A 14531-nucleotide genomic window follows, 5' to 3' on the forward strand; every position below is an offset into this window, starting at 1 on the left:
GGTGCTACCAGGCAGAGATGCTCTTCATAACCTCTTACTGCTTAACATTCAGAACCTATTTCACCTTTCTGTTGCAGAACTTCTGAAAAAGCCACCTAATAAAGCACATTAGAATTAATCTTTTTTTTTTATGTTCGATGCTTTATTCTGCAAGATCCACAAGATCATATTTTAAGAGAACCAGATACTATGGAGAAAAATGTTATTTTAAAGTTAAAAGTATTAAATATACATAGTGTACTGTACAGTTGAGTGCAACTCAAGATATAATTTTGATATACCCCTTTTTTTTTTTAATTGATCATTCTTGGGTGTTTCTCGCATAGGGGGATTTGGCAGGGTCATAGGACAATAGTGGAGGGAAGGTCAGCAGATAAACAAGTGAACAAAGGTCTCTGGTTTTCCTAGGCAGAGGACCCTGCGGCCTACCGCAGTGTTTGTGTCCCTGGGTACTTGAGATTAGGGAGTGGTGATGACTCTTAGCGAGCATGCTGCCTTCAAGCGTCTGTTTAACAAAGCACATTTTGCACCGCCCTTAATCCATTTAACCCTGAGTAGACACAGCACATGTTTCAGAGAGCACCGGGTTGGGGGTAAGGTCATAGATCAACAGCATCCCAAGGCAGAAGAATTTTTCTTAGTACAGAACAAAATGGAGTCTCCCATGTCTACTTCTTTCTACACAGACACAGCAACAATCTGATTTCTCTATCTTTTCCCCACATTTCCCCCTTCTCTATTCGACAAAACCGCCATCGTCATCATGGCCCGTTCTCAATGAGCTGTTGGGTACACCTCCCAGATGGGGTGTCGGCCGGGTAGAGGGGCTCCTCACTTCCCAGAAGGGGTGGCCGGGCTGAGGCGCCCCCCACCTCCCGGACGGGGGCTGGCCCCCACCTCCCTCCCGGACGGGGCGGCTGCTGGGCGGAGACGCTCCTCACTTCCCAGATGGGGCGGCTGGCGGGCGGAGGGGCTCCTCACTTCTCAGACGGGGCGGCTGGCGGGCGGAGGGGCTCCTCACTTCTCAGACGGGGTGGCTGCCGGGCGGAGGGGCTCCTCACTTCTCAGACAGGGCGGCTGCCGGGCGGAGGGGCTCCTCACTTCTCAGATGGGGTGGCCGGGCAGAGACGCTCCTCACCTCCCAGACGGGGTCGCGGCCGGGCAGAGGCGCTCCTCACATCCCAGACGGGGCGGCGGGGCAGAGGCGCTCCCCACATCTCAGACGATGGGCGGCAGGGCAGAGACGCTCCTCACTTCCTAGACAGGATGGCGGCCAGGAAGAGGTGCTCCTCACTTAGACTGGGCGGCCAGGCAGAGGGGCTCCTCACATCCCAGACGATGGGCGGCCAGGCAGAGACGCTCCTCACTTCCCGGACGGGGTGGCGGCCGGGCAGAGGCTGCAATCTCGGCACTTTGGGAGGCCAAGGCAGGCGGCTGGGAGGTGAAGGTTGTAGCTAGCTGAGATCACGCCACTGCACTCCAGCCTGGGCAACATTGAGCACTGAGTGAACGAGACTCCGTCTGCAATCCTGGCACCTCGGGAGGCCGAGGATGGCGGATCACTCGCGGTTTGGAGCTGGAGACCAGCCCGGCCAACACAGCGAAACCCCATCTCCACCAAAAAAAACCGAAAGGCGTGGCGGCGTGCGCCTGCAATCGCAGGCACTCAGCAGGCTGAGGCAGGAGAATCAGGCAGGGAGGTTGCAGTGAGCCGAGATGGCAGCAGTACAGTCCAGCTTCGGCTCGGCATCAGAGGGAGACCGTGGAAAGAGAGGGAGAGGGAGACCGTGGAAAGAGAGGGAGAGGGAGAGGGAGAGCTAGAATTAATCTTAAAAGGTTTCCATAAAGATGATGATGATGATTATCTAGGGATAATTCTAGGTGGGCGCACAGGCTTACTGAATGCTGGCACAGAGGGGCGGGGGAGGGGTCGCCCCTCCAAGCAATGCCCCCAGCCCCTGTGGGCCACACACATTTTCCTGCTCCAAGAGTGTCCCCAAAAGCTCCCCCGACTCCCTGTCCTCACTGCATCCCAGCTCTTCTGCGTTCGCGTCACAAAGTCTTGCTTCCCTCTGGTGGCCCTTTTCCCCTCCCCCAACTCTTCCACCCACCTGCCCACCCCTGCTCCTATGCTCGGATCTGGTGTGGCAATAGAGGTGTGCTCTGGACCAAAGGGCTTTGCCCTGAGGATGCAACACAAAGACTTAGGCTGGGGAGGAGCCATGAGAAGTTGGAAGGCTATATCCTTGCCTCCGAACAGGGACTCCTGATTCAATAGCTCAGAAGGCAGTGACTGCCTACCTCTGGGACTTGGGCCATGGGCTTTTAAAGGCCTGTTCCCCATGCTTACACAATCCTGCAGAACTAATCTATGGTGTCAGAAGGCAGGACAGAAGTTGCCCTTGTTGGGGTGGGGGTAGGGGTCTGTTTAAACAGATGTATTCACTTTGTGAAGATTCATTGAATTACACACTTAATTGTGCACCCTTCTGAATGTATGTTACACCTCACGGAAAAGTTTACCGCCAAAGCCCTTTATGAAGTAGATTTGTGACTTCCATAATATTGAAATTAAATTATCTCTGATAGGATGGGATGACACAGTAGAAAGCAGCGGATAATCCACAGTTGTTTTCTACTTGGACTCGGAACTAGAACATTCCGCACAATATACACGTTTGTGAAAGATTCGTTTTTGTAATTGTGCATGTTCCTGCTAATTTTAACATTGGTAAGAGCACGCAAGAGCATGCACTTGCTAATTTCTAAACAGTAGTACTCAACTTCAGGTGAGATGGTCCAGAAGCATTCAGGTGGCAGGAAGTCACACTGAGACAGGATTAAGAATTTGGCACAGATCGCTGGCCAGATGGGGAGACTCACACCTATAATCCCAGCACTTTGGGAGGCCAAGGTGGGTAGATCACTTGAGGTCAGGAGTTCGAGACCAGCCTGGCCAACATGGTGAAACCCCACCTCTACTAGAAATACAAAAAGTTAGCTGAGCGTGGTGGCACGTGCCTGTAGTCCCAGCTACTTGGGAGGCTGAGGCAGGAGAATCGCTTGAACACAGGAGGTGGAGGTTGCAGTGAGCCGAGTTTGAGCCACTGCACTCCAGCCTGGGCTGGGTGACAGAGCGAGACTCTGTCTCAGAAAAAAAAAAAAAAAAGAGAGAATTTGGCACAGATTCCCTCTTCCCTCTGCCTCCTGTCCCTTAGCTCAGCATTGGATGTGGTTGTTGTTCAGGTCTCAGGAATGCACATTTATCTCCTGCTTGGATGGGTCCCAAGGTCTTGAAGAATAAGAACCATCATCTCTTGGTGTGAAGGGTTGAAAAGAAACTGCCCATTGGAGGAGGGCCCCATAACCTGATCCCAGATTGGTCTCTGTTGTGTCCTGTTTGCAATAAGTCCCCCATCCCTGTGGCACACCCCTCTGTCATGTGCCTTTGGCTCATTCTTCTCATCAGAAGGTGGGGTCTCTTTCCCCACCCCTTGAATCTGGATCAGTCTTTTGGCTTACTTTGACCAGAAGGATCTGGTGAAAAGTGATGCCAGGAGTCTGGTCCAGCTTCCTGAAGGATGAGATGCCACTCAAAGCAGAGAAGGGCCATCCCAGCTGAAGTCCCTAGACCATCCGGCCGATAACCAGCACCAACCACCAGATGTGTGTGTGAGGCTGGCTTTAGACCCTCCAGGTATCCCAGCCACCAGCCAACTGCAGCCACCCGAGTGAGCCCAGGATCCCAGCCCAAATTGGCCACCCAGAGGACCGTGAGCAAATAGACACTATTGTTCTAAGCCACTAAGTCTTGGGGTGGTTTGTCGCACAGCAATTCATAACTGATACAGTTACCCACACCCTTTGCTGAGCCCCTGCTGGCCAGCGCCAGCATCCTAGGAGCGGGACTAAGCCTTCAATCTGGAAGCAACTTTCTTCCCAGGATTTGTTTCTTCACTCATCCCCACCAGTTTCCAGGGCTGACACGCCAGTGCCCATTGCTCTTTATTAGTTTAATATATATTGAAACCTCCAAATAGATGCTGGGGCCCAGGTGGAACAGATGAAATGTGACTAAGTTCTGGGAGATGATTGATAATGAGTAGGGACTGGAAAATCAATTGTGTTAATTCCTGGTCTGTCACTGGGACCAAGAATTAATGAGAAAATCTGTCTAACTTAATGGTATTTACACATTATACAGAGTGTGATAAAATTGTCTGCAGGTGCTGCCTGGCATTTCAATTATACGAGGCCTGTACCGCCCAAGGGGCAGGCAGGTCTCAGCTGTCCAGGACCTGGGCTGGACATTTACAGACTCGCTGGAGTCCCCCAATGACCACACCAACTTCTGAGCAGGTCGCAGGTCACAGGTCCCAGGCCCCTGCATGGACCCTGTTGGCATGGCTGGTCCTTGCTGAGTGTGGATCATCCAACTGGCAGCATCCCAGGGTTTTGCTAGAGGGCACATTTTGGGCCTGCTTTGAGGATAACCACTCCAGAAGCCATGTGGGCAGTTGGACACAAGATCAAGCCAGGAAGGGCTTGATCTTATGTGTTGGCAGAGTCCATGGCTTGAGACACAGATAGTCCTCTTTACCCCCCACCCCTTCCCCAAGAGATGGTCAGCACCAGCTCTGCCCCATATCACACCCACCACTTGGAAGGCTGCCTTGAAAAGTGTCGGGGAAACTGATGAAAGAGCCTGCTTCAGGGGCTGAGTGCGTGCTTCCCTGAAACTCTGTAGACCAGGGCTCCTCCTGCTGATGTGGTTTGGCTGGGTCCCCACCCAAATCTCATCTTGAATTGTAGTTCCCATCAGCCCCACGGGAGGGACCTGGTGGGAGGTAATTGAATCATGGGAACGGTTTCCCCCATGCTATTCTCGTGATTGTGATGTAAGTTCTCATGAGATCTGATGGTTTTATAAGGGGCTTCCCCCTTCGCTCGGCTCCCATTTTTCTCCTTGCCACCATGTGAAGAAAGATGTGTTTGCTTCTCCTTCCGCCATGATTGTACGTTTTCTAAGGTCTCCCCAGCCCTGCCGAACTATGAGTCAATTAAACACCTTTCCTTTATAATTTACTCAGTCTTGGGTATTTCTTCATAGCAGCGTGAGAAGGGACTAATACACCTGCCTAGGGCTGCCCACAGGAGGTGGCATGACAGCCAGCCTCCAAGATGGCCCAGCTCCTGACAATACTACTACTACTACTAATAATCCCCAGCTCCTGATACATCCTTCATGGTCTTCTCTTATATTGAATAGGGCTGGTCTGAGTATCCAATAAGATATCGCTTTGGCCTGGTTCTCTCTTGTATCACCCACTCTGGGGAGTGCCACCACGTGGGGAGGCCCATGTAGGGAGGACCCCAGGCCTCCTGCTAACAGCCAGCACCATGTGAGTGCCATCTTGGAGGCGGGTCCTCCAGCCCTAGTAAGACCCCTGATGACAGCGACCTCAGGAGACACCCTGAGCTCAGCTGCTCCTGGACTCCTGACCCACAGAAACTGGAATAGGGATGGAGATGTTTATTGTTGTCTTAAGCTGCTAAGTTTGAGGGTAGCTCACTAATCCAGGTGGGGAGGGAGATGGGTGGGCAGACCCAGGGTTCGTTCACCCTGTAGTGTGGCATTCATGGAATGCCTCCATTGCTCTGCCCTTCACGTCCACTCTGATTTTTATTCCAGTGAAATCCACTTCTGTGTTTTGCCACCTCCCAAGTCCACCCTGCCCTTCCCACCTCCCTGCCCCTCCCACCTCCCTGCCCCTTCCCACCTCCCTGCCCCTTCCCACCTCCCTGCCCCTTGCTGCTTTCTTTGCCAGGAATGCCCTTTCTGCTCCTCCTCCTTCTCTTCTTCATTCCTAAGATGAACTCCTACTCAGCCTTCAAGACCCAGCTGAAATGCGCCCTCATCTGTGAAGGCTTTTCCAGTCTCTCTCGGGCAGTTTTTGTCACCTTCTTTGGCACCCCCGTGAAACTCTATTCCTCAATGGATAGCTGAGGAGGGTGAGCGATCATGATTGGTCCACTGAGCTCTGGCATTTAGAAATTGAATTTCATTAATTACAACTCTGCCCTTCTCTGTTCATTGGCACCCAGAGGAGGCTCCAGGTAAGGGTGTTGAATGAATGAACGAATGAGTGTGCAAGCAGAATGGCCGCCTTGGGGAGAAAGGGAGGAAACTTGTGAAGCCTGCATGGCGGGAGGAGGGCAGAGCTTGGCCTGAGTGAGGGCCAGGCTGCTTCTTGGCCTGTGTCTGTGAGTTCCAGGGCTGTTCATTCTAACACCATCAAGGGTGCTCTTCTCTCCAAACGCCCCAGAGCTTTCCTGACTCAGGGGACCAGGCATACCTGGGAAGCCCTTTGTGTCGGTGTGTCCCCGTCATCCTCTGTTTTTTTATGTTGTCTTGTTTTGAGGCAGAGTCTTGCTCTGTTGCCCAGGCTGGAGTGCAGTGGCTTAGTCACGGCTCACTGCAGCCTTGACCTCCTGGGCACAAGCAATCCTCCCACCTCAGCCTCCTGAGTAGCTGGGACCACAGGCATGTGCCACCACATCCTGCTAATTTTTAATGTTTTTAGTAGAGACAGGGTCTTGTTATGTTGCTCAGGCTGGTCTTGAACTCCCGGCCTCAATTGATCCTCCCACCTCAGCCTCCCTAAGTGCTAGGATTACAGGCATGAACCATCCTGCCACCCTGTCACCCTCTTTCCCTAAACCTTGCCCTCCCTTGCCCACTGCTTTCCATGCCTGTCAGACAGCCCTCCAGAGTCCCTTCCCCTTATTCCAGACCTGGAGGGCAGATGAGCCGCAGCCAGACAAATCTGATTTCTCAAGCAGGTTTAAAGGGCTTTTCCCAGAGACCCTGAGCTCATTTCTCCTTTCTGTGTCTCCAAAGTGCCAAGGCAGCAATTTGGATCTCAAACGCCCCGATAGGGGTGCAGCCAAGTTCTTTATTGCACACAATGAATTTGTTATGTGGGGATTCTTTGGCCTAAAGGATGGCTTAAAGTCCTGGTGTCCCACTGTGTCCCAGCGTGGCCAGTGCTGAGGGGCAGGAGAGCTGCCTTGCTTGCCTGTCTTCTGAGAGGATGGTTGTGGACACCTGAGGTCAGAGACAGATCACCTGTGGACTCCAGTCCTGCTGCTGGCTGCTCCTGTTTATTGAGAGCTTTGCAGGCCCAGAGAAACCCAGTCATTTATCTACAGTCCCACAGCAGGAAGCTGCAGGGCTGAGATTTGCTCCCAGTCCTGTCTGACCTCAAAATCCCCTGCTCTTGATCGTGAGGCCACACTCCCTCAGCCTGGTGAGCCTGTGGGCCCAGCTGCTCTAGGGGTAACGCACCACCTCCCAGCCCCTAGTTCACCCAGGGGCCTTATAAGATGCAGCAGGACTGAGCCAGAAGCCGAAGGGAATGACAGCCTGGGGCTGAGGTTCCTGGGTCCCTGACACTCACAAACTGCTCCAGCTCTCAGAAGCCAATCAGAGACTCCGTAGTTTCCTGCTCGGCTGAATTCTCCTCTCTGGAGGCAGAGAAAGGAGGTGCTTTGCCATCTCTGGTTGTGGGGCTTTATCTCTGGAAACTCTGCAGTGCGTGTGAAAACCTGTGGACCAAAGAACGAGGAAGAAAGATTAAAGAGGGAAAGGATTAAGATCTACAGGGCTTCCCATGCTCTGCACAGCCGCTCTCAGAAGCTGCTCTGCGATCTCTCTATTAGATGACCGACAGCTGCCAGCTCTGGAGGTGAGAAGGGCTGAGCCCCTCACCCCAGCCAGGAGCCACTGAGAAAGCAGCATAGTCAGGACAAAAAGACAGGAAGGGCGGGGGCGGGGGTGTCGGGGTGTTGGGAGGTGGCAGAACACAGAAGTGGATTTCACTGGAATAAAAGGGCAGATGGGAGGGCAGAGCCGTGGATGTGTTCCATGAGTGCCATGCTGCAGGGTGAAGGGACCCTGGCCCTCCCATCTGTCTCCCTTCCCACCTGGATTAGTGAGCTACCCCAAACTTAGCAGCTTAAGACAACAATAAACATCTCTATATTCCAGTTTCTGTGGGTCAGGAACCTGTGGGCAGCTGAGTTCAGGGTCTCTCCTGAGGTCACCGTCGTCAGGGGTCTTGCTGGGGCTGGAGGACCCACCTCCAAGATAGAACTCACATGGTGCTAGGCTCCTTCAGCACAGGCCTCCCCACGTGTTGGCACTCCCCAGAGTGGGTGATACAGAAGAGAAAGAACCAGGCCAAAGCCGCCATGGTTGTTTTTTTTTTTTTTTTTGAGATAGGGTCTCACTCTGTCACCCAGGCTGGAGTGCAGTGGTGGGATCATAGCCCACTGCAGCCTCGAACTCTTGGGCTCAAGCACTCCTTCCACCTCAGCCTCCCAAGTAGCTGGGACTATAGGCGGGCACCACCACACCTAGCTCATTTTTAGTTTTTTCTTTGGTAGAGATGGGGGTCTCACTATGTTACCCAGGCTGGTCTCGAACTGACCTCAAGTGATCCTCCTACCTCAACCTCCCAAAGTGCTGGGATTACAGGCATGAGGCCACTGTGCCCAGCCCCCTACCATGGCTTTTTTATGAACTGGTCTCAGAAGTCTCATACCATCCTTAAGGTCACCCATTATTGTTCCCAGCTTCCCCTGCACTCTAGACAATCACTGCTGACAGCCAGGCTGCCAGGGGTTCCTGCAGTGGCTGTGTCTGATGCCAACATGGCCAGCCCCTAAAGGTTGTGATATCTGTGTCCCCAGGACCCCTTTTCAGATATCATGATGGGCAACATCAGTCTAGGAAGGTAGACCCTCCAAACTGTGCACCATCCCACACCCTTCACCCACCTCCACCCTCTCCTTGTTGCCCCGCTTATAGCCACATCTTCCATCTCCAAAGAAGATGCTCTCAGCAGTGACTGGAGCATGGGGAGGCTGGAAACAGTAGGGGTCCACTTTTATGGAGTGCTTGCTATGTGTGAAGTTGGTACTGAGCACGGCAAAAGTACTAACTCCTTACAGCCTCTCTGCAGGATAGGTGCCTCCCATTTTATAGATGGGGAAACTGAGGCACAGGGAGGGTAAGTGGCTTGCTGAAGACACACAGCTCTCAAGTGGCAGAGCTAGGAACTGAACCCTAGTACTCTGCCTCCAGAGCCCATGCTGTTAACCTTATATTTATAGCATTTGTGACATTAGGCAACATTTCCTTTCCGCAAGAGAGCCGCATTCATCAGGCAGGGATTGGAGTTCAGGGTACAGCAAGAAAGACACAGGTTAGATACCTGGAGGGCTTTCCAGGCCACAGGTCATGAGGCCTCAGTGCAACTTTGTCCCCTGAGGATGTTCAGAAAATGAGGTCTTCCCAGGCTGCGTTGAGCACAGCCAAAGGCTAAGGGGCGGTGGTCATTGTTTTTAAATTAAAAATTGTGATAATTTATACATAATACAAAATGTTCCATTTTAATCTTTTTCTTTTTTCTTTTTTTTGAGATAGGGTCTTGCTCTGTCACCCAGGCTTGAGTGCAGTGGCGCGATCTTGGCTCACTGCAACCTCCGCCTCCCAGGTTCAAGCGATTCTCCTGCCTCAGCCTCCTGAGTAGCTGGGATTACAGGTGTGTACCACCATGCCCAGCTAATTTTTGTATTTTTAGCAGAGATGGGGTTTCACCATGTTGGCCAGGCTGGTCTCGAACTCCTGACCTCAAGTGATCTGCCCGCCTCGGCCTCCCAAAGTGCTGGGATTACAGACATGAGGCACCACACCTGGCCCAATGTAACCATGTTTCAGTGTACCATGCAGTGGCATTAAGTACCTTCACATTGTTGTGTAGCTGTCACCACTGTCCATCTTCACAACTCTTCCATATGGTCTTTTCTGGAAGTGTCTGCTGGCCCCAAGGCCTTTGGCCAGCCTGGACTCCCTTCCTCCCTGCCTCCCTGAACGTGGATGGGGCTGCTGGCAGGGGCAGGACGAGCACACAGAGGGAGGAAGAAGGCGCAGCACAGACTTTCCTCTTCAGAAGGGAGGTATTAAAACGATCCACTTTTGAGGCTCACTGTCTGCTTCAAAGACCCACGGCAGCTCTGCGGAGGACGAGCCGTAGCAACCGTGTGAGAGGGTTTATCAATAGTACCTGGAGCTCAGTAACTCATAAACCTTTCATTAGGTTTACATCGATGATGGCCCAAGTCCTAGGAAGTAGATTTAGGCTGGAAGACGGATGTCTCCATAAATCATCATCTCAGCAAATTAGGGAGTTGGAGGGAGCCTTTTTATCGGATTTCCCAGCAGCTCACTTGGGAAGCTCTGCTTCTTTGCTCCCATTCTGAGCTGATGCCAGATTCTGAGCCTCACGTGCTTGGATGGAAAATGCAGTCAGCGGCTCAGAGAAGGGCCTGCCCAGGACTAGGAGGAAGAGAGCACTACGCTGCTCTCCCTGTTCTTGGGTTCCTCCAGGCCCGGCTGCTGATTTTATGGCCTTATCTGCCCATCTTGTTATCTACAGAGGGAGCAGCTTTCTAGAAGGCATTTCTTCGAGAGAAAGAAATGGAGACAGCAGCAGCAGCAGCAGCACAGGCAGAGCAGTTTTAAGATCTCTCACCAGGCCAGGCACGGAGGCTCATGCCTGTAATCCCAGCACTTTGGGAGGCTGAGGCGGGCGGATCACTTGAGGTCAGGAGTTCGAGACCAGCCTGGCCAACATGGTGAAACCCCATCTCTACTAAAAGTACAAAAATTAGCCAGGTGTGGTGATGTGTGCCTGTAATCCCAGCTACTTAGGAGGCTGAGGCAGGAGAATCACTTGAACCCAGGAGGTGGAGGTTGCAGTGAGTGGAGATCGCGCCACTGCACTCCAGCCTGGGCGACAGAGCAAGACTCTGTCTCAAAAAAAAAAAAAAAAAAAAAAAAAGATATCTCAGCAGACATGAGAAAAAACAAGAGGGGAGCTTCTGTTTGCTAATGAGAACAATAATAATAATAATAACAGCACTCTTGGTGCCTGCCGCATAGCCCATTGTCAGTATGGATCAGCTGTTATTTTGAATCTTTCTTATCTGCCACATGCTTTATTAAGGATTTATCTTTACGTTATTATTATCATCACCCTCTCATTTTACAGATAAGAAAGCTGAGGTCTGAGAGGTTAAGTGATGTGTCTCTGAGATCAGCCCAGGAGCAGCCTCTTATTGACTTGACCTTCCTACCCTGCCTTCCCCTCTGAGTCTGTTTCTTCCCATCTCTGAAATAGAGAATCAACTTCAGTGCTCCCCATTCCTCAGAAATGAAGCTGGAGAGGAGTCAGCCGGGAAGCACTAAGCCTAGAGCTCCTGGGGAAGAAGACGCACCTGCTCGAAGGGCAGGGAAGGCTGTTCATTTCAGGACGACGTCCACAGCTTCTATTTCACGGAGCCATCTCAGAGGCAGGGAAGGCTGTCCATTTCAGGACGATGTCCACATCGATGGCCTTGGCAGATGTTGCTTATTCCCATTTTACAGATGAGGAAATTGATCCCTTGCCTCTGCCTCCCCGAGTTTCAGTCCCACAGCTAGTAAATGGTCCAGGCTGGCTGGAACCAGGTCCTGACTAGTGCTGTGGTGTCAGAGGCCAGTGGGCAGTTCAGCTAGTGCCGCCAGGCTCTCCGAAGGCCATGTCTCCAGACAGGATGTCAGGGCATGGGTCCCTGCTGCTCCCTTCCCCCTGGACAGGGGTCCTCTCAGGTGGCTCCCCTCTGCTTTGCTCTGCAGCCCCAGCCTCAGGTGCTCCTACGCCAGCTCCTCCTGCCCACCCTTTCTGTTCCCCAGGGCTGCCCTAAATGCTCAGACAGACTAATTACAAGCACGGGCAGAGAACTGGGCTGCTGATTTGGCAGGTGGGGCTTTAGGACTCCGTGATGCTCACCAGCGGCCGGCAGGCTCCCTGACACATCAGAGACTTTTCCATTTCCTTTCCTCTCTCCTTCTCTTGCCCCTGGAGGATGAGCCAGCCTGCCAGCAAGTGAGCGAGTGAGCCAGAGGTGGGCTGCTGAAGTCTGTGCAGCATGCTGGCTGTGGAATGAGAGGGCTCTGAGCAAGCCATGTCCCAGGAGAACTTTTACTCAGGAATAATGTGCATGAGGATTTATTTCCTCATTGCTGGGCTTCCAGCTGAAGTACAGGCATGTCTCTGCTTGGCTCCGGCAGGGGAACTCGGCTCAAAGGTTTCAACAAAGCAGCCAAAGATTCCGATTCAATGAACACTGAGCACATTCTGTATGGGAGGCTCCGTGCCGATAGCTCTGCCCACTCACCCCATTTAACTTCCTTTACTTTTTTTTTTTTTTTTTTTTTGATATTGGGCCTCCCTGTGTCATCCAGGCTGGAGTGCAGTGGCATGATCATGGCTCACTGCAGCCTCAAACTCCTGGACTCAAGCAATCCTCCCGCCTCAGCCTCTCTCCTGAGTAGCTGGGACTACAGGCACAAGTCCCCATGCCTGGCGAATTTTCAAGCTTTTTGTAGAGATGGAGTCTCACTATGTTGCCCAAGCCAAGTCTCAAACTCCTGGCCTCAAGTCATCCTTCTGCCTTGGATTCCCAAAGTGCTGGAACTACAGATGTGAGCCACTGCACCCAATGGCCCCCATTAAGCTTTATTTATTTATTTATTTATTCGAGATGGAGTCTTGCTCTGTTGCCCAGGCTGGAGTGCTGTGGCACAATCTTGGCTCGCCGCAACCTCTGCCTCCCGGGTTTAAGTGATTCTCCTGCCTCAGCCTTCTGAGTAGCTGGGATTACAGGCACCCTCCACCACGCCCAGCTAATTTTTATATTTTTAGTAGAGATGGGGTTTCACCATGTTGGCCAGGCTGGTCTCGAACTCCTGACCTCAAGTGATCCAACTGCCTCGGCCTCCCAAAGTGTTGGGATTACAGGCATCAGCCACCACGCCTGGCCCCCATTTAGCTTTCATAACAACCTTCTGAGTTCAGAATTCTTATTCCCATTTTACAGATAAGGAAAGTGATTTCTTCAAGAGTCCACAGTTAGTAATAACACTCCAAGTGGGTATTTACTTACTACATTAACTTGCCACGTGCCAGGTACTACTCAATATTATACATATTAACTCATTTAATTCCCTCAACAACCAATGAAGTCAATACTGCTATTACCCTCATTTTGCAGGTGAGGAAACAGGCCCACTGGGATTAAGTAAATGCCCCAGGTTATAGGGGCCGTAGATGGTGGATCTGGGATTCCATTCCAGGCCAGCAGGCTCCAGGGACTATGTGGCAGGACTAGAAATAAGGTCCTGTTCTTTGGATTCGAGCCCAGTTCCTGTAAACCATAACGTTACTGTTGGTTCGTCATGCCCATGAAAGGGATGGGTTTGGAGGGACCTCAGAGTCTCAGGAACTGTAAGGTCGAGACTTGGTTGTGTGCCTTGATCAGGACACGTCATCAGTGGGAAGCTATAGAAACCCAACGTTAGTAGCTGAAGCAGAAAAGGGAATTTATTGGCTCATATGACAGGAAGCCCAGGCGTGGATATAGGGATTTTTTTTTTTTTTTTGAGACAGAGTTTTGCTCCAGGCTGGAGTGCAGTGGTGCAATCTCTGCTCACTGCAGGCTCCGCCTCCCGGGTTCACGCCATTCTCCTGCCTCAGCCTCCCGAGTACCTGGGACTACAGGCGCCCACCACCACGCCCGGCTAAGTTTTTGGATTTTTAGTAGAGACGGGGTTTCACCGTGTTAGCCAGGATGGTCTCTATCTTCTGACCTCGTGATCCACCCACCTCGGCCTCCCAAAGTGCTGGGATTACAGGCGTGAGCCACTGCGCCCGGCTGGATATAGGGACTGAATGATACTCTGAGGACTCCATCTGTCTGTCTCTCTCTCTCAGCCTCATACACCCACAGTTCTGTCTTCATGGAAGGGAAGGTGGGGTCCATGTATGTTGGTAGTCTGGGCACTGCTCAAAGGCCCCAGCAAAGGGCCAGGTGGGAGCTGAAATACATTCAATGCTCTGCTTACAAAGCTCTGTGTCCTGGTATAAGGCAGCATTGCCCCAGAGAGACATTTTTCCTAATTCATCTGCCTGGGGGAGTCACCTATTGCTAATACACATAAGATGCCGTGTAAGCTAGTGGTAACCCTGACACCTTCTCCTGGCCACCAAGACCAGCCCCACACCAGCACCCTCATCCCTCACTCGGCAACTCCATCAGACTCACCTGCTCAATCAGCACGTATTTATGGAGCCCCTACCTACTGAGTACTGCTGGCAAAACTCCCTGCCCTCCTGCAACTTACGTTCTACTGAAGGATGGGATTGACTTTGCTTGGGTCACATGTGCACATTTAGACCAATCACTGTTACCAAAGGAACGAGAGCCCGCCCTCCTGCAACTTACATCCTACGGAAGGATGGGATTGGCTTTGCTTCGGTCACATGTACACACTTAGCCCAATCACTGTTACCAAAGGAACGACAGCACGCTGTGGTTGATCCCGCTGAGCCAGATGCCCTCCCTTTTGGAGAGACACGGCACTT

The 14531-nt window shown here is 52.1% G+C and overlaps 1 long non-coding RNA gene across 1 annotated transcript, besides 1 other annotated feature; it reads right to left on the reverse strand.

Moving 5' to 3' along the window:
• Nucleotides 545-1370: an enhancer, noted in NCBI's record as "H3K27ac hESC enhancer chr1:11365397-11366222 (GRCh37/hg19 assembly coordinates)". NCBI's record gives its function as "activates a minimal SCP1, AML or CMV promoter by ChIP-STARR-seq in primed H9 embryonic stem cells {active_cell/tissue: H9 hESC(primed)}" and the evidence as "EXISTENCE:reporter gene assay evidence [ECO:0000049][PMID:30033119]".
• Nucleotides 7081-11507, reverse strand: LOC105376737 (uncharacterized). Its single transcript, XR_946957.4, has 3 exons — nucleotides 11344-11507; nucleotides 9810-10080; nucleotides 7081-7608 (listed from the first exon to the last, which is right to left on the reverse strand). It is a non-coding gene; the product is annotated as an uncharacterized LOC105376737 (long non-coding RNA).
• Between the last annotated feature and the right edge of the window lie 3024 nt (nucleotides 11508-14531).

This window comes from Homo sapiens, chromosome 1 (assembly GCF_000001405.40).
Source record: "Homo sapiens chromosome 1, GRCh38.p14 Primary Assembly".
In the NCBI taxonomy this organism is placed as follows: domain Eukaryota; kingdom Metazoa; phylum Chordata; class Mammalia; order Primates; family Hominidae; genus Homo; species Homo sapiens.